At 52.9% G+C, this 22130-nt stretch overlaps 1 protein-coding gene across 1 annotated transcript, besides 16 other annotated features; it reads right to left on the reverse strand.

Annotated features, from left to right (window-relative positions):
• Positions 1 to 434: 434 nt before the first annotated feature.
• Positions 435 to 4754, reverse strand: FGF4 (fibroblast growth factor 4). Its single transcript, NM_002007.4, has 3 exons — positions 4158 to 4754; positions 3437 to 3540; positions 435 to 2898 (listed from the first exon to the last, which is right to left on the reverse strand). Exons 1-3 carry the CDS (start codon positions 4495 to 4497, stop codon positions 2722 to 2724), a joined length of 621 nt encoding a protein of 206 aa, NP_001998.1. The 5' UTR covers positions 4498 to 4754; the 3' UTR covers positions 435 to 2721.
• Positions 867 to 1467: a DNaseI hypersensitive site, noted in NCBI's record as "DH site A; the nucleotide coordinates are approximate for this feature". NCBI's record gives the evidence for it as "EXISTENCE:in vivo cleavage assay evidence [ECO:0001075][PMID:1836454]".
• Positions 867 to 1582: an enhancer, noted in NCBI's record as "NdeI/SalI fragment; 0.7NdS". NCBI's record gives the evidence for it as "EXISTENCE:reporter gene assay evidence [ECO:0000049][PMID:2188089]".
• Positions 1036 to 1205: an enhancer, noted in NCBI's record as "53 enhancer fragment; 3548 to 3717". NCBI's record gives the evidence for it as "EXISTENCE:reporter gene assay evidence [ECO:0000049][PMID:8143853]".
• Positions 1090 to 1097: a nucleotide motif, noted in NCBI's record as "nucleotide_motif; octamer". NCBI's record gives the evidence for it as "COORDINATES:motif similarity evidence [ECO:0000028][PMID:1723621]".
• Positions 2728 to 3653: an enhancer, noted in NCBI's record as "H3K27ac-H3K4me1 hESC enhancer chr11:69588083-69589008 (GRCh37/hg19 assembly coordinates)". NCBI's record gives its function as "activates a minimal SCP1, AML or CMV promoter by ChIP-STARR-seq in naive H9 embryonic stem cells {active_cell/tissue: H9 hESC(naive)}" and the evidence as "EXISTENCE:reporter gene assay evidence [ECO:0000049][PMID:30033119]".
• Positions 4643 to 5038: a promoter, noted in NCBI's record as "R/A promoter fragment". NCBI's record gives the evidence for it as "EXISTENCE:reporter gene assay evidence [ECO:0000049][PMID:8143853]".
• Positions 4643 to 5755: a promoter, noted in NCBI's record as "PstI/ApaI promoter fragment". NCBI's record gives the evidence for it as "EXISTENCE:reporter gene assay evidence [ECO:0000049][PMID:2188089]".
• Positions 4643 to 6426: a biological region, named in NCBI's record as "FGF4 promoter region". NCBI's record gives its function as "regulatory_interactions: FGF4 | LOC109117331".
• Positions 4878 to 4901: a protein binding site, noted in NCBI's record as "Y probe". NCBI's record gives its function as "positive regulation of promoter activity" and the evidence as "EXISTENCE:protein binding evidence [ECO:0000024][PMID:7929190]".
• Positions 5503 to 6426: an enhancer, noted in NCBI's record as "H3K4me1 hESC enhancer chr11:69590858-69591781 (GRCh37/hg19 assembly coordinates)". NCBI's record gives its function as "activates a minimal SCP1, AML or CMV promoter by ChIP-STARR-seq in naive H9 embryonic stem cells {active_cell/tissue: H9 hESC(naive)}" and the evidence as "EXISTENCE:reporter gene assay evidence [ECO:0000049][PMID:30033119]".
• Positions 11080 to 11617: an enhancer, noted in NCBI's record as "H3K27ac-H3K4me1 hESC enhancer chr11:69596435-69596972 (GRCh37/hg19 assembly coordinates)". NCBI's record gives its function as "activates a minimal SCP1, AML or CMV promoter by ChIP-STARR-seq in primed H9 embryonic stem cells {active_cell/tissue: H9 hESC(primed)}" and the evidence as "EXISTENCE:reporter gene assay evidence [ECO:0000049][PMID:30033119]".
• Positions 11618 to 12153: an enhancer, noted in NCBI's record as "H3K27ac-H3K4me1 hESC enhancer chr11:69596973-69597508 (GRCh37/hg19 assembly coordinates)". NCBI's record gives its function as "activates a minimal SCP1, AML or CMV promoter by ChIP-STARR-seq in primed H9 embryonic stem cells {active_cell/tissue: H9 hESC(primed)}" and the evidence as "EXISTENCE:reporter gene assay evidence [ECO:0000049][PMID:30033119]".
• Positions 18257 to 18802: an enhancer, noted in NCBI's record as "H3K4me1 hESC enhancer chr11:69603612-69604157 (GRCh37/hg19 assembly coordinates)". NCBI's record gives its function as "activates a minimal SCP1, AML or CMV promoter by ChIP-STARR-seq in primed H9 embryonic stem cells {active_cell/tissue: H9 hESC(primed)}" and the evidence as "EXISTENCE:reporter gene assay evidence [ECO:0000049][PMID:30033119]".
• Positions 18803 to 19347: an enhancer, noted in NCBI's record as "H3K4me1 hESC enhancer chr11:69604158-69604702 (GRCh37/hg19 assembly coordinates)". NCBI's record gives its function as "activates a minimal SCP1, AML or CMV promoter by ChIP-STARR-seq in primed H9 embryonic stem cells {active_cell/tissue: H9 hESC(primed)}" and the evidence as "EXISTENCE:reporter gene assay evidence [ECO:0000049][PMID:30033119]".
• Positions 19779 to 20483: an enhancer, noted in NCBI's record as "H3K27ac-H3K4me1 hESC enhancer chr11:69605134-69605838 (GRCh37/hg19 assembly coordinates)". NCBI's record gives its function as "activates a minimal SCP1, AML or CMV promoter by ChIP-STARR-seq in naive H9 embryonic stem cells {active_cell/tissue: H9 hESC(naive)}" and the evidence as "EXISTENCE:reporter gene assay evidence [ECO:0000049][PMID:30033119]".
• Positions 20484 to 21186: an enhancer, noted in NCBI's record as "H3K27ac-H3K4me1 hESC enhancer chr11:69605839-69606541 (GRCh37/hg19 assembly coordinates)". NCBI's record gives its function as "activates a minimal SCP1, AML or CMV promoter by ChIP-STARR-seq in naive H9 embryonic stem cells {active_cell/tissue: H9 hESC(naive)}" and the evidence as "EXISTENCE:reporter gene assay evidence [ECO:0000049][PMID:30033119]".

The raw sequence follows: 22130 nt of genomic DNA on the forward strand, positions 1-22130 counted from the left end.
ATAAAAGACTAGCTGCAGTTCATTATATTGAGTTCAATACCCATGGATGGTGTCTACTCAGATTTTGAAAAATATTCTCGAGTCTGCCTCCTAATGACCAGCTCTGGAGCTTCACGGCTCCCCCTAGGGAAGTGCAAATTGCTTTAGAGAACAGGAGGCCAATGGGAGGGGCACAGAGTTTAGGGCCAGTTACAGTGCGGGAATGGCGTGAATTAGCCCCATCAGGAGAATGAGAATAAACTGCAAGACTCTGTCATGGCAAAACTTTGTGACACTCACACCCCCCAGGCTCCTGTTTTCAAGGCTACATTTGTGTGGACACAGCTGGCTAAAATTCGTCTCTCCTGCCCCCACCCCAACCCCCAGCCATGTGAGGCTCAGGCCTCAAATAGAAAGACCCCTGGAAGACAGGGGGAGGGAACCAGGTCTTGGCATTTCAAGGCACAATTTTAATAGCTTTTAATTCCTTTCCCAGTTGTGTACATCCAGTCCAGTGGTGTCTTTTTATACACGATAAACGCTTATCATTGTCGGTCAGCATGTCAATGTGCACAGCACATACATCACAACGAGGGTCGGCACCTGTATAAAACTACAGATTCTGAAAACAGTGGCACATACAGGAACCTCGAATCCCCATCACAGCAATATGAAAACAATATTTTAAAGGTACAGTTGTGTTCCTACAGGCATCACACATGATTTGTTGAAGAAATATCTATAAGAAGTGGTCAAGGGTGATCAAACCTAACACATGTTAATTCCTGACAATCTGATTGGGCTCTGAGACAAGAAATCTCATAATAATTTAAGGCATTTAAGACAATCATGGTTTGTTACTAAGTGAATACATTAAAATTCAGAAAGTCGACGGATGATCCCTCCACACCCCCCAACGCCAAACAGCATGGAGACCTACAAACACCATCTTTCCTGAACACTCCTGGAGCCTAGGGTGTGGTTTAAAACTTAAAAACAGTTTAGTGCATGGTAGGAACAGCAGTTTAAGATGTGTGGTCCTGTCTTAGCGGCTTTGCAAGTGTCTTCTTTCTTCCAGGCCTTGGTTAAGAATAGTATTTTAAGTCGATGATTTGCATTCGAACAAAGAGTTTTCAAAAGGAATGTGAAAGACAAAAACTCCAATCAGATTTTCCAGTCTTGCTGTCTGTAGACTCCCATAAAGTTAATTCGGGAGACAGTTCAGAAACATCCTAGGAGAGTATTAAAGTCTTGACGAAACATTCGGAGCATTTCTGGTAGCAAGCTAAGGTCATTTTGTATAAACTCTAAAAAGTCATTCATTAAAATTAAATGTTTGCCATCACCTCGGAACTTTTTTTAAACATCACCGACCCTGCCTCTTCCACGGTTGCTTCAATGACAGGGGTTACATTTGTAAAATATATAAAGAAAAATATAAGGTTACTTGGTGACCATATAGTGTACTGTAACAGCTGTCTGCAAATATTTTCACCATGATCACCCTTACTAAAAGTAAATCACAGGGTAAAGATAGCTCAAACGTGACAAGGTTCGAATGGGACGCACCGACGCTATCTGCAATCCTTTTTGGCTACATATGGAAAAAAAGCCACTTGGGATGGCAAACTCCTGCACCGGGTATGAGCTTTCTGTGGGTTTTGCCTGGGGTTTCAGGGCTTGTGAGGTAGATGTTAAACGCACTTAAACAGGGAATGCATCAGAAAGCAGCAGGCTGCTCCACGCAAACACTGCACCAAGTGCTTTGTACAATTACAAGGACATTTCACCTAAAAATCGTAGCTAGTTCTAGCCCAAAGCTCCCTAAACACAGGGAAGCCCGTTTTGGGGGTGGGGCGGGGGGTTCGATGGTTTGTTTTCAAAAACATATTCTATCACACCATCAGAAGCATCTGCCATCACAAATTATTTTTCATCACTAGGGTTTTGTTTGTGATTGCAAATACACTATCTTGTCCATTTCTAGCCTTCCAGTGGGATATTGATTCCTCTCCATGGAATTTATGAAAGAGCTTCGTCTTTTCCCCAATAGTCACAGCGATGGGGGCTGTCGCTGATCCAAAAAAGGCAAACAGGAGTTTATAAAGTTGTCCAAGGGTCTCTCCCATCTGGTAGATCGAGGAAGATTGACTACAGGAAAGTTCAAAGGTCAGTCTTGGCAGATCTAAAAACAGAGTGGCAGCGAGGACTTCAACACCGCACTTTCTGTACCCGAAGTAAACCGATATGTCCCGATTAATAGCAACAGGGCACAAAGGGAGTGGGCCTCTGAGGATGCTAGCCGAGAGCCAAGCCTGGGAGCTCCCTGAACTGGCTGCCCAAGCCTCAGGCGGGCCTTTCCAGACAGAGATGCTCCACGCCATACTACAGGGGATGACATCGGAATCCAATGTCACCTTTTTTTAAAACACAGAATAGCAGCACACTCGTGACAACTTTTGACAAGTTAAAGAAATCCAATGGTAAGATTCTCCACTGTTGCACCAGAAAAGTCAGAGTTGGTTTTTTGTTTTGTCTTTTTTTCCCCCCAGAAAATTAAAAAACACACCCGCAGAACTATAAATAATTTGGTGGCAATATATACACATTTAAATAATTAATTTAAATATCTTACACCTACTCTTGCATTAAACTCTTCATCCGAAGAAAGTGCACCAAGGTGACCCTCGGCACTGCCCTCCCAGGGGCTTCCCGAGGCTGAGGCAAGGGTCCTCTGGAGGGTCACAGCCTGGGGAGGAAGTGGGTGACCTTCATGGTGGGCGACACTCGGTTCCCCTTCTTGGTCTTCCCATTCTTGCTCAGGGCGATGAACATGCCGGGGTACTTGTAGGACTCGTAGGCGTTGTAGTTGTTGGGAAGGAGAATCTCCTTGAACGTGCACTCATCGGTGAAGAAGGGCTGCAGCAAAGCAGGGCAGTGTCAGGGCTGGGGCACCTCTTGGGCAAGGTACCCAGCCTGAAGCCAGGGGTCAGAACCCCCTTCTGTCCCACCCCCCACCCTGGGCTGAGATGTCTCTGCTGAGCAGTTAAGGTGTCAAGACCCACACAGGGTGAGAAGGGGACATGGCCAGCCCACAACAGCTGGTGCTCTCACCACCTGCCCTGCACCTAGCAGCCAGAGAATTCATTCCCTCCGTGTCCAGCCTCAAGCCCGCAGTTCCAACACTGAGACCTACCCCTCTGGACTAGAGAAGGGAAGGGCTCTCAATAGCGCCCTTTCCTCGGTCTGGGAGGGGCCCACTCAGGGATGGCAGGAACCTCATTGTTCCTGCCTTGGGGCTGCTTCCTTTGTCTGGGGAGGCCTGCCGGTCCCGTGACCTGGTGACCCTGCCACCCCTCCAAGACCCAGGCACAGGTGGGGCTGGAGAAGCCACGAGCCTGCTAGCCATGTCCGCTGTTCCCAACTAGGTGCCTAGCCAGACCCCTGCGGTACTCACCGAGCCATAGAGCTTGCCCTTGCTGCTCATGGCCACGAAGAACCGGCTGGCCACGCCGAAGATGCTCACCACGCCCCGCTCCACGGGCGAGAGCTCCAGCAGGCCTGGGGGCGGGGCGCAGGTCATTGCGGGGCAGGTGATCCCTGGCCCACTCCGCCCCTCGGCTTGTTCGCCTCCGGGGACCCTATTTCTGGGGTGGGGTTGGGGATAAAGGGCCAGGGTTCCCGGCGCAGCCGCCCCCAAGGGCCTCCAGAGCCCAAGCTGCCCTCTAGGGCCTCCGGAGCCCAAGCCTGCGCTAGCTCAGATTAGCTTGCCTGTGTAGGGGACCCCCGGCGGCCGCACCCAGTCCCGGACCTTCAGACGCGAGCCCGACCCCAGCGGTTCCCCAGCCTGGGCCAGGCCGGGGCGCGTGTCTCGGGCCCCCTGTGGCTGCACCGCGCGCCCTGTGCCCACGGGCGAAGGCGCTGGAATTCGGCGCTCGGAGCCCGAGTTTCTGAAGGCGGGAGGCGGCGCCCGACCTCAGGGGTTGCGCTGGGCTGCCGGAGCCAAGAGTGTCTGCGTCCCCAGCCCCGCGTCAGAAGGGACCGGAGCCCGAGTCCGCCCCGGTTCCCGGGGCCCCCGAGCAGGTGCCCGCCGAGGGTCTCAGAGTGTGACTGAGCGGGTTGGCCCGGCGGCCGTTGCCCCCCGCCCCCGCCCCTTCGCGCCTGGCCGCGCCACTCACTGTCGCGGGTGTCCGCGTGCGCGCCGCCGATGCGGCCGTCGGGGAGCGCCTGGAGGTGGAAGCCGATGCCCACGTTGCAGTAGAGCCGCCGCAGCCGCTTGATGCCCAGCAGGTAGTCGCCGGCGCCGCTCTGGACGGCCGCCTCCTTGGGCTGCGCTGCCACCGGCAGGCGCGCCAACGAGAGCGCCACCAGGCTCTCCCAGCGGCGCTCCAGCTCGGCCTCCAGCGTGCCGTTGGGTGCAGTGGGTGCGGCGGCGCCCCCTCGGCCCGCCCAGGGCGCCAGCAAGGCCAGCAGGACCGCCGGGAGCAGCGCTACCGCGGCCGTCCCGGGCCCCGACATCCCGGCCCGAGGGCCGTGCGTCGGTCAGGCGGTCAGTGCGCCCGGGAAGCTGGGGGGCAGAGCTGCGCCTGTGGCGTCCCGCGGGAGCGCACGGCCGACCTCGGGCAGGAGTGCGCAACCGAGGAGGTGCGGGAGGCAAGCGACGGGGCCCCCGGGCGCCGGGCTCTACCCCGGCTGCATGGAGCGGCGAGCCGGGCGGAAAGCGCGCGGCTGGAGCTGGGACTCTGAGGAGCAGTGCGCGCCTCCCTGAGCGCCAGGCCCGCCCGAGGCCGAGCCGCTATATATATAGCCCGGCGCCCCCTCCTACTCGCCCGCTCCCGCGGGGGGCCGTTCGCGTTCTCCTGGGCGCCCGGGGCGCTGTGGCGTTCGCGGCTGGTCGCAGGCCGCCTGCCAATCAGGGCCGGGGGAAGGGAGGAGGCTGGGGACTAGCGCCGCGAGTGCCACCTGGAGGGACCCCGGCCCCCACCCTTGGCTCCGCCCGGCCCACGGACCTGTTCGTCCCGCCCCTTGGCGGCTCCTACACTTCTGCTTTTCAGCCAGTTTTGCCTCTTGCACTTTGTCCCTGCCTGTCCCCGTCCCCGTCTCCCTCTCTGCTCCGGCCGCCTTGGCGCAGCCCTAACTCGGGCATCCGAAGCTCCTAGTGGGCGCAGAAGCCAGCGGCTGCTGCCTGCCCTTCGCCTTTCGGAGGCTCACGGGAACTTGGTTCCTTTGCTGGGGCCTTGAGGACCGGCCTGGGAAGGAGGGGTGGATAAGAGCAGTAAGCGACACCGGGGCCTGGCTGGGCAAGGGAGGACCCTTTGGCTACAGGCGGGAGGGAGGCCACCCCCACCCCCTAGGTCTTGGCCCCACAGGCTTGGCGCGTTTCTGGGCTGGAGTTCTGAATACCTGGTGGAGGTCCACCTGAGCCAAAGGGCAAGGTGGCAGAGATGCACCCAGGGAGGCCTGGTCCTGCACCCCCTACACACACACCCTTCCGTGAAAGGACAGGTAGCAGGGCATAGGGCCAGAGGGGATATTCAGCATCCCCTGCTCCTTTGATTCCACAGCAGAAATATCCATGTACCATAGCCAGAGCCCTCAATCTAGCAGGGACCCAGGCCAGGCCTCTGGAAGCCTCCCCTCTCTCACTCATGGTTCTACCTCCCACTGTGCCCATTATGGCCTGATGGGGACTGTCCTAGCTAGATGCAGGCCCACCTAGGTGTGAAAACCCCTGTTCTTTGTGGTCCCTGAGGAGCCTGCCTGGCCCTTCCTGCAGGCCCGCCTAGCCACAGCTGCAGGGGGCTTGGTGCCTACCCCATCTCTCATACCACCAGCACCTGTGACCAGAGATGTCCCCAGGCCACCGCAGCCTCCTCCACCTCCACCGCATCCCCACAGGGAGATTCCTGGGACCCCTTCAGAACCCTGCTGGGGCTTATTCGTGCCCCTGGAGGGGACCTGGGAGGCTTGAGGGCTCTTCTCTGAGGTGCAGAAAGGGGGGCACTTGGGGGTCATCAAGTGGCTTTGGCAGGACCGGAACCTCAGCTCCGCACCCCTTGAGAGGATCTTTGTTCCTCCTTGGGCCTGCAGCCTGCTTGGGCAGCGCCACCCAGACCTGGACCTTCCTGGGCTGCAGCTCACAGCTTCGAGATGCAACCCGGCTGCCTCTGGGTCCTGGGGTCCCCCAGATGAGCCTGCAGATCTGGTGCCAAATAGACATCGTTGGCCAGGGTGCAGGGTGCAGGGTGCAGGGGACCTAGAACCCATCCCTCACTTGCTGTGTTGTCTTTCCATCTCTAGGTCCCTGACTCCCCATTTGCAAAATGACATGGGAGGTGGGCTTTCCTCCCTCAGCCTGGGGCCAACCGAACACACCCTCTGGGGAAGTGAGACCCAGGCCTGGAGACCCACCTGTGCCAGCTGACCTGAGCAGAGGGACTCTGATGTCTTCCCCCGGCTTTTGATAGGATGAGGCTCCTTTCTTCCCAGGACTCCCACAGCAAGCTCAATTTAGGGCTTCCCAAGGACCCCTCCCTGTCTCTCCTATTTGCTGTGAGTTCAGCAAAGGACGCTGCAGGCAGCTGATATATCTCCCAGAACTGCAGGCCCACCCACACAGGATAGGTGCTTGTGGTGACTGGGGACTGACAGCCAGCAGGGCTTTTGGGAGCTGGGAATTCCCAGCAGAACTGATCTGGAATCTGGCTTCCACTTTGCTCCGGGTGCTCCCTGAGCACACTCTCAACCTCCGCAGGCCCTGGCCTCCTCAGCTGTGCAATGGAGGCAACAAAAGCACAGGTAAGGAAGAATTGCGGATGAAGGATGCACCAGGAAGCACTCACTTATCTGCATCTGACCCCTTTCCGTGCCCCTGGCCCTTGACCTGGCTTCCCACCTGCTTCCTTTCTGCTCCTGTGTTCCCGCCATGCTGACCGCGTCATCTCTCCCCTTCCCACTGGATGACCCCCGGCCCCAGATCTTCCTGCCAATGACTTATCCCATTCAGGTTTGCCTGAATGGAGAAGCCACTCCATTGGAGTAGCCACTCGGGGATGCCTTCTGGATCCCCTGCCCAGTCCTTCTGGTTGGAGCTTCTTTGAGCTCTTAAGAGAACCTTCTGCACTTGTTAGCTGACCCTCCACCGCATTTAGATTGTCATCTCCATGGAGCAAGCCCGGATTTGTGTTGTTGCCAGTTGTACCTCCAGTGCTGGGCACATAGTAGGTGCTCAATAGCTGTTTGTGAGTAAATGGCTGGCTAGGTACACTAGGAGCTCATCCATCAGCAATCCTCACTGCAAGCTGCCCTGCCCAATCTGCCACTGTGCCCCGGGGCAGACAAACAGAGGTACCTGCAAAGGCCTCAGGCAGAGCTGCCCCTATGGGAAGGTCTGCATTGCCTTTTTTTTTCTTTATGTGAAAGAAATAGTTGGACCAAGGTGACTAAATCTTTTCCAGATCTGGTTACTTCTCAGCAGAGAGACAAGGGGACCTATATATAATTTTTTTTTTTTTTTTGAGATAGTATCTTGCTCCATTGCCCAGGCTAAAGTGCAGTGGCTCTATCATAGCTCTACAGCCTCAAACTTCCAGGCTTAAGCAATCCTCCAGCCTCAGTCTCCTGAGTAGCTGGGACTACACACTCAGCTAATTTTTTGTTTTCTTTTTTAGTAGAGACGAGGTCTCGCTGTATTGCCCGGGCTGGACTCAAACTTTTGACCTCAAGCAATCCTCCCGCCTCAGCCTCCCAAAGTGCTGGGATTACAGGCATGAGCCACTGCACCTGGCCAGGTGATCTAGAAACAGGACCCTCACTTAGCTTGGACCCAAAGCCCTTCTGCCATGCTTTACCCCAGGACGCCCGCTTTGCCAAGTCCTGGGGTTCGAGGAAGGCTTGGGGCCATGTTGGGCTTCCGGTTGGGTTCAAGTTTAGGCTGTCTCCCTGTTAGTTGTATAACCTTACGCTATTTCACTTCTTAGCATTCTCAGTTTCCCCATCTGTAAAATGGGCATGAGCTGATGTCGGCCTTAGCAAGACAGTGCCTGACCTCAGGAAGAGGCTGAGCAAAGTGAGCTGTTTAGACTGCAAGCCCCTTGGGGGTGGTTCAAACTGGGTCTGATTAACAGTAAATGCTGGGAATTTGTGAAATAAACAAAGCCATGTCATTATCGGGTGGAAGTCTCCCTGTACGTCATCAGCCACTGGAGGGGTAATAAATTGAGGGAGAGGAGCAAAGGCCCAGAAAGCCTCCTAACAGTGACCTTTTTCGACCTCCAAAAAAAAAAAAACAACAATGTAGGATCTTCATGTGAATGGTCCCGTCTCCCGTGAAGGAGTGAAGAGGCTTCTCAGAGCCACCAGCTCAGGTGTTAGCTGTTAAGAACTTACTTGGCTTAATAGTAATAATAATAAAAAAGAAAGTGCTGCATAATAGTCCACTTATAGTCCTCAGGGCAAAATGACTGAGCTCAGCCCGGGGCAAGGGCCCAGGCTGTGTAAACTTTGTAAATAGCTCAACTGCTTTCTCAATTCAACTTCCCTTTCTTGGCTTCAGCAAGACACCCTCACAATGATGTCTTTCTGCAAAAGTCCAGGAGGATGATAAGGCCGGTGGGATAGACTGGTCTACACTGAGCCGAAGCACCCCAAAGCAAGTGGCATGTTTTTCTTTAGGACCTTCAGAATAAGGGGAGATTGAGCCAATTTTTTTTTTTAGCTTTTTAAAAAATGGTGTTAATTGGGTGCGGTGGCTCACCCCTGTAATCCCAGCACTTTGGGAGGCCGAGGCAGGCAGATCACTTGAGGTCAGGAGTTCGAGACCAGCCTGGCCAACATTGTGAAACCCCATTTCTACTAAAAATACAAAATTAGCTGGGCGTAGTGGTGCATGCCTGTAATCCCAGCTACTCAGGAGGCTGAGGCAGGAGAATCGCTTGAACCTGGGAGGTGGAGGTTGCAGTGAGCTGAGATCGCGCCAGTGCACTCCAGCCTGGGCGCTACAGAGCGAGTCTCCGTCTCAAAAAAGAAAAAAAAAGGTGGTAAAATATACATGATACATAACATAAAATTGATGTTAACCTATTTTTTTTTTGAGGTGGAGTCTTGCTCTGTCACCCAGGCTGGAGTGCAGTGGCGCGATCGTGGCTCACTGCAAGCTCCGCCTCCCAGGTTCACGCCATTCTCCTGCCTCAGCCTCCTGAGTAGCTGGGACTACAAGCGCCCGCCACCACGCCCGGCTAATTTTTTTTTTTTTTTTGTATTTTTAGTAGAGATGGGGTTTTACCGTGTTAGCCAGGATGGTCTCGGTCTCCTGACCTCGTGATCCACCCACCTCGGCCTCCCAAAGTGCTAGGATTACAGGCATGAGCCACCGTGTCTGGCCTGATGTTAACTATTTTTTAAAAGACTTTTTTCAGAGCAGTTTTAAGTTCACAGCAAAATGGAGAGGAAGGTACAGAGAGTTCCCTTACACCCTCTGTCCCCACACACTCACAGCCTCTCTCATTTTAGCCATTGTTAAGTGCACGGGTAAGTGGCATTAAGGACACTCACATTCTAGTGCAACCATCACCACCATCCATCTCCAGATGGTTTTCATCTTCCCAAACTGAAACTCCCTGCCCATTAAACACTTGCTCCCCATTCGGCTCCCCCAGCCCCGGCACCCACCATCTTCGCTTTCTGTGTCTACGAATTTGACTACTTAGGGACCTCATGAGTGGAATCACACAATGTTTGTCCTTTTTGTATCTGGCTGATTTCACTTAGCATAACATCATCAAGATTCATCCACGATGTAGCATGTGTGGGAGTTTGCTTTCTTTTTTTCTTTTTTAGAGGCTGAATAATATTCCAGGTATGGATGGGCCACGTTTTATTTATTTACTTATCTGTCAGCGGTCCCTGAGCTGCTCCCACCTTTTGGCTACTGTGGACGATGCTGCTGTGAACCTCGGTGTGCAAATATCTGTTTGAGTTCCTGCTTTCATTTCTTGTGGGAATATGCCCAGAAATGGAATTGCTGGATGAGGTGATAATTCTATGTTTAAGTTTTTGAGAAACTGCCATACTGTTTTCCATGTTTTTTTTTTTGTTGTTGTTTGTTTGTTTGTTTTTTGTTGTTGTTGTTGTTGTTTTCAAGTTACCTTGATCCTGGGGCATTAAAGAGACAGCAGGTCACTCCTTGGCTTATAGCGATGTCTTACCCAGTTCTGCGTCCAGGAGAGTTTCCCCTCTCCCGTTATTCTGCCCTGTTTCTCTTCTACTCTGAAGGTGGCCCAGCCAGGTCTGGGCGACAGGCTTTGGGGGCGGTTTCAATGACTGCGAATCAATAAAACCACCTGCCTCCCTGTGCACACGCGTGCAGATCTTTTGCACATATCAGATACTCAACCCTGGGAAGATGGAAGACAAGCCATGCCTCAGTTTCCTCATCTGTAAAATGTGGAAAATCAGCGTTCTCACCTCAGAGGGCTTCTGGAATAGTTACATGAGAGAATGTGCGTTCAGCCCTTAGAACGGGCAGGCACACGGTGATGTGTGCCCACAGCCATCGCTGGCTGAGTGGTGTGACTACCCAGCTTGAGTGCAGGGCTAGGGAGCCAGGTCCTGGCGTCTCTCACCACTGAGGGAATGTGGGTGATTTGCTGAGCCTCTCAGGACCCGATGTCTGCCTTCATTGCTTGCTAGGGAATTAGAAGAATTAGACATGTAAAGTGCCCGGTGTCTTATCCACGGGCTGTGAGCTGGCAGGATCGCCAGTACCTCTCCAGATAAAAGTCATCGCTGCCACGTTCATTAGGTGCTGGCAGGAGCGGGTTTGGTGCAGGGTGGGGCTGCTTTGCAAGGCTGATCGTCTTTTCTTCTCACCCAGCCCTGCAGGGTGTGGCCCTGCTGGTCATCACCATTTTACAGAAGAATTAACCCAGACTCAAAGCCTCTGAGCAGCTCACTCAAGGTCATGGAACTAGCAAAGAGCTAAGCCAAAACTCAAACTCCTGCTGTGTACGCCAAAGTCAGGCCCCTGACCATGCTGCTGTCTGCCTCAGTTTCCCCTGCAGCAAAATGGAGCTGGTGGTCTGGACCTTGTCTGCCTCAGAGGGATGTCAGGGGCTCAAACTGTGCAGGTGAACTCTTCTGTCAGCATCAGAGTGGGGCTTAAGCTCCATGAATTGATATCATAACCCCAGTTGATTTGTTCATTTGGAGGATCACAAAACAGACCACCAAGCCTCCAACTCCCGGCAGTCTCTTTAATATTTCAAATAAAAAATGGTCAGAGCCAGAAGGGACTCACCTAAGGGCTGCTAAAGTGACCCATTCCTTGCACAGAAGCCAGTGGAAGGCCAAGAAGGAAAGGGCTCCTCCATGTTACCTAAGGACCCACCTTTCCCGCTCAGGGGTCTGGCACCCCGTCAGCTGAGTGAGCCTTTATGGAGTGCCTGCTCAGGAGAGTCATGGGATCTAGGGACAGGGTCATTTCAGCCGAGACCTAAAGAAAGGGTGAGTAGGAGCCAGCCAAGGTGGAAGAGTGGGAGCTTCAGGAAGCCAGTGTGTGGAAGCTGGGTGGGTGCATGAGGTCAGAGGGATGGGCAGGACTTTGTGGACCCAGGAAGGGTTTCAGCTCCCTTTGAGGGGTGCTGAAAGCCAGGGTGCCATGGGCTCAGCTCACCCCATGGGGCATGCCAGGGAATCCTTGAGGTCACAACCTTCCCCAGCAGAAGGAGCACCCCACAGGCCTGGTGGGCTGACCCTCAGGGTGGTGGGGTTGTGCCTCCTCCCCACTTGCTTCTTCCCTTCCCTCCTCCTCAGGGTCTCCCAGCAACATGGAAGAGAAGCCCACTTTCCTCCCTGACACCACCACTGGGCATGGGATTCCACCTGTCTCCATGAGAGAAGATGGGAAATACCAGTGGGGAAGCAGAGAGGCTCCCCATTCTCCAGATTTCAGACCACAGGCCCCTCAAGGGAAGCATCCTGGTAGGGAGGAGGTGGAAGAAAAGTTCTATTCAAAGTCAGTCTTGGCAACTGTACCCTCCCTCCCCCCTCCCTCTCCCTGGATGGACTCGAGGCCTGGGGAAGGCCTGACCACCCGGCCCTGGCTGTGTGAGACATCCATGCCTCAGGCGGGTTCCTTCTCTTTCCCCCTGTCTCCCTCCAGGACAGCAAAGCCAGGTTCCATCCCACCCCCTGGAAGAGGTGTTGCCTGAGGACTAGATCTAGGGGGGACCCTAAGAAAGGTGTCTATGGTGGCACCTGGATGGGAACATTCTGGAGTCTTGCCATTGGGATTGAGAGGGATGCTCAAGTGATCATAGGACAAAAACTAGAATGAAGCTTTGGGGCCCACCCTCCCCTATCAGGGAGGAGTCCCTTGTTCACACAGAAGTCACGTCTCCTTTGCTCTCGGGTAGTTCTGAACTTGGTGTTATAACATGTGGGTTTGTAAATCTGGATCACTGAAGGCAGGATGCACCCACCCCTTCACTCAAATTTGGATTTAGATTGACCTTGGTCTGAAAAGCATTACTTGATTCTTGGGACATATGTGTGTTTCTTTGTCCAAGAAGATAGGAGATCAGATGAGAGGACTTCAGCAGGGACAAGGGCTCAGAGGGATAAGGATAATCTCTGGTACATTTTAACTATGAATGATTTAAAATACTCTTACTCTTTTTTGTTGTTCTTGTTCTTGGTTTTTTTTTTTTTTTTCTTTTGAGACAGGGTCCCACTCTGTTACAGGCTGGAGTGCAGTGAGGCAATCATCGCTCACTGAAGCCTCAAACTCCTGGGCTCAAGGGTTCCTCCCACCTCAGTCTCCCAAGCAGCTGGGGCTGCAGGTGCACGCCACCATGCCTGGCTAATTTCTTTTTGTTTTTTGTAGAGATGGTGTCTCACTGTGTTGCCCAGGCTAGCGTGGAACTCCTGGATACAAGCGATCCTCCACCTCGTCTTCCCAAAGTGCTGGGATTACAGGCATGAGTCACTGCGCTGGGCCTTCTGTTACTTCTAATTAATTTATTAATTGACTTTTGGGGGAGACACAGTTTTACTGTGCCCCCCCAGGCTGGAGTGCAGGGCTGTGATCTTGGCTCACTGCAACCTCCGCCTTTCAGATTCAAGCAATTCTCCTGCCTCAGCCTCCTGAGTGGCTGGGATCACAGGTGTGCACCACCACGTCTGGCTAATTTTTGTACTTTTAGTAGAGAGAGGGTTTCGCCATGTTGGTCAGGCTTGTCTCGAACTCCTGGCCTCAAGTGATCCACCCGCCTTGGCCTCCCAAAATGTTGGGATTACTGGCGTAAGCCACCACGCCCAGCCTCTTCTGTTACTTTTAAAAATGTGTCCAGTGGAGTCTATAACAATACCAGTTTGACAGCTGCCATCTTTTATTTTAGAAAAAATACATGAATAAGCTTTACTCCAGCAGACAAATATTATAAACCCTCACCCATTATCTTTGTATTTTAACCTCGAAAGTCTTTCATTGATCATTTTATTATTATTCTTTTTTTTTTCTTTTTTCTTTTTGAGATGGAGTTTTGCTCTGTGGCCTAGGCTGGAGTGCAGTGGCACGATCTCGGCTCACTGCAACCTCTGGCTTCCAGGTTCAAGTGATTCTCCTGCCTCAGCCTCCCGAGTAACTGGGATTACAGACTTGCACCAACACGCGGGGCTAATTTTTGTATTTTTAGTAGAGATGGGGTTTCACCATGTTGGCCAGGCTGATCTCGAACTTCTGACCTCAAGTGATCCACCCGCCTCGGCCTCCCAAAGTGCTGGGACTACAGGCGTGAGCCACAGCACCTGGCTGTTCACTCTATCATTATTCACTGCAATAAATGAAATATTTAAAAAACTAATTTCCTAGGCTGGGCGCAGTGGCTCATGCCTGTAATCCCAGCACTTTGGGAGGCCAAGGCAGGCAGATTGCCTGAGGTCAGGAGTTCAAGACCAGCCTGGCCAACATGGTGAAACCCTGTCTCTACTAAAAATATAAAAATTAGCCAGTCATGGTGGTGTGCCCCTGTAATCCCAGCTACTCAGAGGCTGAGGCAGGAGAATCGCTTGAACCCAGGAGGCGGAGGTTGCAGTGAGCCGAGATCGCACCACTGCACTCCAGCTTGGGTGACAGAGCGAGACTTAATCTCAAAACAAACAAACAAACAAATGAATTTCTTATGACTGTTAGCATTAAATGGTTTTGTTCTGGATTTTACTTTAAACAACTTTTACTAATACATAGTTAATCAAAATGCCATGAATGTAATATCACATAATTGATAAGTAAAGAGCACAAATAAAATTCTGGTAGAAATGAATCTTTTTTTTTTTTCCTGAGATGGAGTCTCACTGTCGCCCAGGATGGAGTGCAGTGGTGCGATCTCGGCTCACTGCAAGCTCTGCCTCCCAGGTTCACGCCATTCTCCTGCCTCAGCCTCCCGAGGAGCTGGGACTACAAGCACCCGCCACCACACCTGGCTAATTTTTCGTATTTTTAGTAGAGACGGGGTTTCACCATGTTAGCCAGGATGTCTTGATCTCCTGACCTCGTGATCCGCCTGCCTCGGCCTCCCAAAGTGCTGGGATTACAGGCGTGAGCCACCGCACCTGGCCGAAATGAATCTTTTAATGTGACCTAGGACAGGGCTTTAAAAAAAAATTTCATATGACCACTACTTATTGCTAGAATAATATGGCGTTTGGCCTCAATTTCATTCCCATTTTCTATTTCTGTTGATGGCAAAGCCAAGAAGCCTTGTCCTCAGGTGGAAGACACAGAATTGAAGTTTCGTTATGGTGATGTCACTCAAGGATTTGAACACTCGCCAAGGTATACACTCAATCACCTGGTTTATATAAAAAATGGTGTCTCCTGCTTGATCTGCTGACACCATCAACAGCTCTTTTTTTTTTTTTTTAATTCTTTGAGACAGGGTCTCCCTCCGAACCCAGGCTGGAGTACGGTGGCACAATCTCCCCTCACTTCAGCCTCAACTTCCCTGGCTCAAGCAATCCTCCCACCTCAGCCTCCCAAGAAGCTGGGACTATAGGCATGTGCCACTATGCCCAGCTAAATTTTTTTTGTTTTTGGTAGAGTTGGGATCTCACTGTGTTGCCCAGGCTGGTCGGCAGCTCCTCTCTTAATTCCTTGATAGCAAAGACTCACCAGTCATTGGAGCTGCACTTTCTCAACTTCGGGAAATTTTATCCAAAGGTTTTATTTGTTTGTTTGCTTGTTTGTTTGCTTTGAGACAGAGTCTCACTCTGTCACCCAGGCTGGAGTGCAGTGGTGCAATCTCAGCTCACTGCAACCTCTGCCGCCCAGGTTCAAGGGATTCTCCTGCCTCAGCCTCCCAAGTAGCTGGGATTACAGGCACCTGCAACCCTGCACAGCTAATTTTTGTAGTTTTATAGAGATAGGGTTTCACCATCTTGGCCAGGCCAGTCTCGAAATCCTGACCTTGTGATCCACCAGCCTCGGACTCCCAAAATGCTGGGATTACAGGCGTGAGCCACCATGCCCAGCCCAAAGGTCTTTTTTGCCAAGAACAATTAATTATACCAGTTACTTTTTTACTTGGAGGAGACTTATTAAACCTGATATAATGAAAATGGGGAAGACTGGGAATGAAACTGTTGCTAATTTCAACATGGCTTCGCCAGTACTATAGTGATACAAAGCTTCCAATGCATTGCGGGTTTATATCTATTTCTTTCCGAACCTTGCAGCTGCAGACACAACCTAGGCAACACTTAGACAGCTTTCCCCGTATAGCCACAGAATCAGTAAAGCCAGTTTTCTCAGTGACAGCCATGTGCCACTTACCATTGGAAGACCTCGGATTGTATTTTCCAATTCAAACAAGTGAGTTAATCTGCGTCTCCAGAGTATACCCCCTGCTTCTGATTTCTGACTCTATGAAGTAGGAGGAGATGCAGACATGAAGAGAAAAGGCCAGATCCCTGCCTGGAGCTGGGCACCTGGCGACTTCTAGGCTCACCAGGATTTTTGCCTCCTTTCCTGGGCCTCTCTCTCCAAACTGTGGCCTTGAGACCACAAGTAGCCCAGGACGGCTTTGAATGTGGCCCAACACAAATTCATAAACTTTCTTAAAACATTTTGAGATTATCTTTTTGCAATTTTTTTTTTTTTTTAGTTTATCAGTTATCATTGTTGTTAGTGCATTTGATGTGTGGCCCAAGCCAATTCTTCTTCCAGTGTGGCCCAGGGAATCCAAAAGATTGGACACCCAGCCGGGATTGGTGGCTCACGTCTGTAATCCCAGCACTTTGGGAGGTGGGCGGATCACCTGAGGTCAGGAGTTCGAAACTAGCCTGGGCAACATGGTGAAACCCTGTCTTTACTAAAAATACAAAACTTAGCTGGGTGTGGTGGCAAGTGCCTGTAATCCCAGTTACTCAGGAGGCTGAGGCAGGGAGAATCGCTTGAACCCAGGAAGCAGAGGTTTCAGTGAGCTGAGATCGTGCCATTGCACTCCAGCCTGGGCGACAAGAACGAAACTCTGTCTCGAAAAATAAATAAATAGGCTCACACCTGTAATCCCAGCACTTTGGGAGGCCCAGGCAGGCGGAACACCTGAGGTCTGGAGTTCAAGGACAGCCTGACCAACATGGAGAAACCCAGTCTTTATTGAAAATACAAAATTAGCCGGGGGTGATGGCACATGCCTGTAATCCCAAGTACTCGGCAGGCTGAGGCAGGAGAATCGCTTGAACCCGGGAGGCGGAGGTTGCAGTGAGCTGAGATCACGCCATTGCACTCCGGCCAGGGCAAAAAGAGCAAAACTTCATCTCAAAAATAAACAAACAAGTAAATAAATAAATAAAGTTAAAAAAAAAGATTGGACATCTCTGCTCTAATGCATCTTTGTCAAGGGCATGGGTTTGGGAGGCACAGGTCACTGAAAGAAATAGGCAGGTCCCTGGCCCTCCACTCCCAAGGCATCTGTTAGGAGCTCTCCAGGGCAGGCCAAATGGGTGGCCACTTCTGCCGCCACCCTGCACCCTCCCTGGGCTGCTTCCAGGCCTGAGAGAGCTGGAAGGAGTGTCGGCTCCTGGTCCACATTGCAGCTTTGTTTGGTGCCCTGAGGCTCTAGCACCTAAGGAGCACTCCTTTCTTTTGTAAAGTGGGAGAAAGAGCCTGTGAAAGGGAAGGTGGGGAAAGGGAACCGTGGCTGGGTGCTCTGTTCCTCCCATTCACCAGGCAGGAGGAAGTGGGGGCTCCAGCTGCGGGTGTGGCCTTGGGATGGAGCAGAGACTCTTTGGAGAACTATTCCTTCCCCTATGTGCCCATCAGACCTCAGCTCAACCTTGACCTTTCTGGGAAGCTTTGCCTGACTTCTCAAGTCCAGTCGCCTATCACAAGGTGATCACAGGACAGTCCAAACTGGGCCTTTTCAGAAAGAAAGGAAGTGCCCCTCACTATTACCCTGGGACGAGGGGTGCACCCCTGCACAGTTCCAGGCAAGCAGGACTGGGGCCACCTGACCTGTTCCACTCTCACCACCACGCACCCTGAGCCCGAGAGCAGCCTGCATGGCCAGCTCATGCTCTCGGAGCGCACCAGGAGGGCTCGGGGAACTCACCTGTGCCTGGACACCTGCAGCACTAGGGCCTCGATTCACCCAGTGATCAGCTGTGCATGAAAAGGCTGATGTTCTGTCTCCGAGGCTGGTGGCGTAAAGGACTGCATTTGACCCTGAGGGGCCCACAGGATGGGGCGGATAGCAGCAGGATCCAGCAATGCTGGGTAGAGGGCGAGGGTGCAGGGAAGACGGCCCAGTCCTTGGACACATGCCCCCCATCAGCCTGCCAGTGGGAGCCCCGTTTCCCATTCACTCACGAACCCCAAGAGGTGGGCGGGGATGATCCATCTCAGTTCACCAGTAAAGAAACTGAGGCCCAGAGAGGAGGTGACTTCCCCAAGCATACGTGACAGGTACCAAGTGGTGTCTTAAAGTCAGCGTGGGCAAAGGAAGACCTCACTGAGTCAGTGTCCTGGAAAATTCCTTCCAGAAGCCAATTCCCAGCAGGTCCCAGAGGCATTTTGCCCTCCAGGGTTGGCTATTTTTCTGGATGGGATGAAGCAGGCAGCTTGCCCTTAGGGACCACGCTGGATAAAAAGTACTCTCTGCACTGTGCACTCATCTATTGTGGGGAGGCCAAGCTGAGCCCTGCCTGGTGGAGTAAGGGCTCCCTCACCCCCTCTCCTATCCCCGCTCCAGGGCTCAGGGAACAGCAGGGGGAGTCACTCGTGTTAGTAAATTATTATTTCCCCACCTGCCATGGTCATCATGATTGCTGCCGTTGCATGGGGGGAGTTCACGGGTTCATTGCAGCCTCCAAGGCCTGTAAGGACCGCCTGGCTCTCCCTCACTCTGGGTGAGACCTTGGGCAGATTCTGACCCTCAGTCTTCTCATTTGTGGGAAATCTTAGCACTCACTCACATCTTAGGGCAGTGAGGTGGCGGCTGATGTTAGGTGAACTCACGCCTAAAAGAGCAGGCATCTATTCTGGTCTGCTCTCCCAAGCCAGTCCTGCCTCTCTCCATCAGCCTGCGGGGCTTCCCGCCTCTTTGAGGCCAGGGATGCAGGGTCCTCGCAGGCAGCCAAGGGCCATTCCTGGGCCTCCGGCCTCAGTGACAAGAGGCTTTTTTCTGCCTCTGCCGCCTGCTCCCTGACATCCCACGCGCCTGCCTCTAAGCCTGAGATGCGGCTTCTAAGCCGGGGCAGACCCAGCCTGCTATTCTGGGGTCTTCTTTCAACTATTTTGGCGAAGACCAAATGGCAGCCTCCTTTAAAATAGCTGCTGCAGGCCCAGGGGTCGTTCCCTGAGAACCAGGTCAGGCCAGGCCCGCACTTCTTCCTAGCAGCCCATTCAAGTTAAATACGGCCCCTGGCATCTGCAGCTTCGAGGAGGGCTCAGCTGAAATTCCGACGGGCAAACACGGGGCGGACACCAAAATAAAACCTGGCTGGCCCTCCGAGGTGCCTGTGGCTTCTCAGTTTCACAGACGTGCTTACGTTTTTCATGAAATCACAGGGCTAGTCGCAGGAGGTGGTGGGAGTGCCTAAGTCAATGAGGAGCAGTGGCCAGTCCCCCGGCCCCACGGTGGGTCACTCCATGAAGTCTACTTGGAAATGTGGGAACCCAGGAGCCCCTCACTGCAGCCGAATTCTCTGGGAGGCTGCAGCTCCCGGATAAATGAGTTCACCTCCCCTTGATTTCCAGGACCAGATGGCTGCTGGCTTTGCTCACCTAAATTGGGGTGGGCGGGGGGGGTCCTTTAATAGAATATACACATAATAACTGAGGAAACTTTTTTTTTTTTTTTGAGATGGAGTGTTGATCTTGTTGCCCAAGCTGGACTGCAATGGCACAATCTCGGCTCACTGCAACCTCCACCTCCCGGATTCAAGCGATTCTCCTGCCTCAGCCTCCCTAGTAGCTGGGATTACAGGCATCTGCCATCACACCCGGCTAATTTTTTGTATTTTTAGTAGAAAAGGGGTTTCACCATGTTAGCCAGTCTGGTCTCGAACTCCTGACCTCAGGTGATCCGCCAGTCTCAGCCTCCCAAAGTGCTAGGATGACAGGCGTGAGCTGCCGCACTCAGCTGGAGGAAACTTTTTTGAAAAAAAGCAAGCAGAGCCGGGTGTGGTGGCTCACGCCTGTCATCCCCACGCTTTGGGAGGCCAAGGTGGGCAGATTACTTGACGTCAGGAGTTCGAGACCAGCCTGACCAACATAGTGAAACCCTGTCTCTACTAAAAATACAAGAATTAGCTGAGCATGGTGGCATGCGCCTGTGGTCCCAGTTATTTGGGAGGCTGAGGGCACGAGAATCACTTGAACCCTAGAGGTGGAGGTTGCTGTGAGCCGAGATCACACTGCGGCATTCCAGCGTGGGCAATAGAGTAAGAATCCGTCTAAAAACAAAAAAAAAGCGAGCAGAAAGGACTCCCATGGATAAAGTGATGCCACTTCAAATTCTACTAAAGAGATGGCACCATGGTCCAAAGATAGCATATTGCCAAGTGACTCAGGTGTGTGTCCTTACTGCCTGGAAGATGAAGTGCTTAGGTGGTTTTACTGTCTTACGCCTCGCTCTGGGCTGCCCCCCTCCACATTCCCACCTTGGGAAGCCAGTCTCTGGACAAGTGCTCCTCAATGCCTCGGGTGGGTCCCAGCATCAGGACGACAATAAGTGGCAGCCATGAACCCTCCAGAGCGATGGGAGCGGAAGCCTAGTGGGTGTGTGAGGCCTAGGAGCCAGCCTGGAGTGGGAACACGCCAACCTGCAAAGCCACTCTGGGTCTGTGAGCTCGAGACTGCGTCGCCTCCCTCTCTTACTGGCCTTGTGATGGCATCAGGTCTAGAGTCTAGGGAGTACCTTGCCCACTTTGAATCCTGGCGAGTCATTCAACAAATGTTGGCTGTACTTCTGTGGATGCAAGTTTGGCTCCAGGCAGTGTGGACAAAGCAGAAATGCCACCATGTCCACCGTGGGGAAGCTGACATCCCAGGGGAGAAGCAGACACAGAGCTAGGAATTACCTGTAGGGTGAGGATTAAGAAAGAGGAAGAGAGGGCTCTACAGGTAGGGTCTGAAGGAGACCAGTAGCCACTGACCTAGTCTAAGGGCCAGGGAGGTGTCCTCCAAGAAGTGGCATCTGGTGGACCTACAGCCGGGCTTGAGCGGTGACAGTGCTTCCAGGCAGGAAGCACAGCATGGGCAAAGGCCTAGAGGAGACACGAGCAGCCTTGCTTAGGGAAGCCCAGGCAGCAGCCTTGGGAGCTGAATCCAAGAGGCTGCGAGCTAGCAGGGCTTTAAAAAGCCTGGCTCGGCTGGCCTTGGGTTGGGGCCCAGTCAGCTTTGTGTCAAAAGCAGAGATTTCTGGTTGCTGCAAACACCTCCCAGGCGAGGCAGAGGCATGAGTCGCTAGCAAAAATTCTCCTTGAAACTAGTCACTGGTGCCAAGAAATAGAGAATCACGTTGCACATCAACCAGAAAGACAGCGGAGACCCGGGTACAGTGAGCCACAGGGAAGTGAACCTGGTAGTTCAGGGCAAAAGCCATTTTAAGAGGCTCACAAACAACCTGGGAGCAGGATCTGGACGCGCTTGTGAATTTCTCCTCTCATCTTTTCCTGTAGTCCCACCCATCCCAGTTGGCCGGCATGACTTTTTGGTAACTCATTTTCACAGAATCTTTCCAAAGCAGACAACGTTTCCATGAGAACATCATCTCTCTCTTGGAGGTTCGTATTTCATCAGTGAGTTTTAGGATTCATTGAATTTCCTCGTTGCTGTTACAAGTAGAGTGGGCCCGGGCCGAATTGGGAACAAATCAGACCGACTGCTGCTGGCCCAGGAATGAGTGTGAGCATCTGGGCCCTGGCCTTTAGTGGCCAAGGACGTGGGCCAGCACGTCAGCAGGAGTGAGGGTCACTAGCCTGGTGAGTCTGTGTGGCGGAAGTCAGTGGAACCTCGGTTGACTGGCTGAGGCCACGCCGGGTGCTGTACACACATTGTGAGCTGGCTTGCTGCATTTTTAGAAGCAAACACATGGCCTCCTTGGTGGGAGACCTCTGAGGGGCTCCACTTTGCTCATCGCTTGCTGTGTGACCATAGGCAAGTTACCCACCTTCTCTGAGCCTCACTTCCTCCTACCCTTGCAGTGAGGCCTCAACAAGAATGTGGACAAGGGAGGCAGGGTCCTGTGCATGGGCTGGTGGCATGGTCTGATCTCTATCTACCTGGCACCTTTTGGAGCCGGTGGGCATTTGCAGGCAGCAGGTCCTGCCCTGGGTCACAGCAGAGGGGGCCCCCCAGGACCCATGGTGGTCCCTCTTCAGCACAGACGCATGTGCTTTGGATTGGGGGTAAGCACGCTCTTTGATATCCTCTGTCTTGCCCCCGGCCCCTAATTGTGCAACTCTGCTTCCCAGGACCCAGGGCCTGGGTGGAGGCGGGAGGGACCTAGGACAGCCATCAGGTCAGCCTGTTGTCAGGGGTGCGGGGGCCAGAGCCAGAGGATGTTTGGTTTCTCACGAGCCATTGTAGTCCCAGGGGAGGGGCTGTTGGGCTCTGGGGATGTGGACACGCCAGAAGCAGTGACCGTGGC

This window comes from Homo sapiens, chromosome 11 (genome assembly GCF_000001405.40).
Source record: "Homo sapiens chromosome 11, GRCh38.p14 Primary Assembly".
NCBI classification, from domain to species: Eukaryota; Metazoa; Chordata; class Mammalia; order Primates; family Hominidae; genus Homo; species Homo sapiens.

Coding starts and splice junctions, on each gene's coding strand:
- FGF4 (NM_002007.4), bottom strand. CDS start 4,497: ATGTCGGGGCCCGGGACGGCCGCGGTAGCGCTGCTCCCGGCGGTCCTG. Junction 3,541..4,157: donor GCACGCGGACACCCGCGACA/GTGAGTGGCGCG, acceptor CCCCGCCCCCAG/GCCTGCTGGAGCTCTCGCCC. Junction 2,899..3,436: donor AGGGCAAGCTCTATGGCTCG/GTGAGTACCGCA, acceptor GCTTTGCTGCAG/CCCTTCTTCACCGATGAGTG.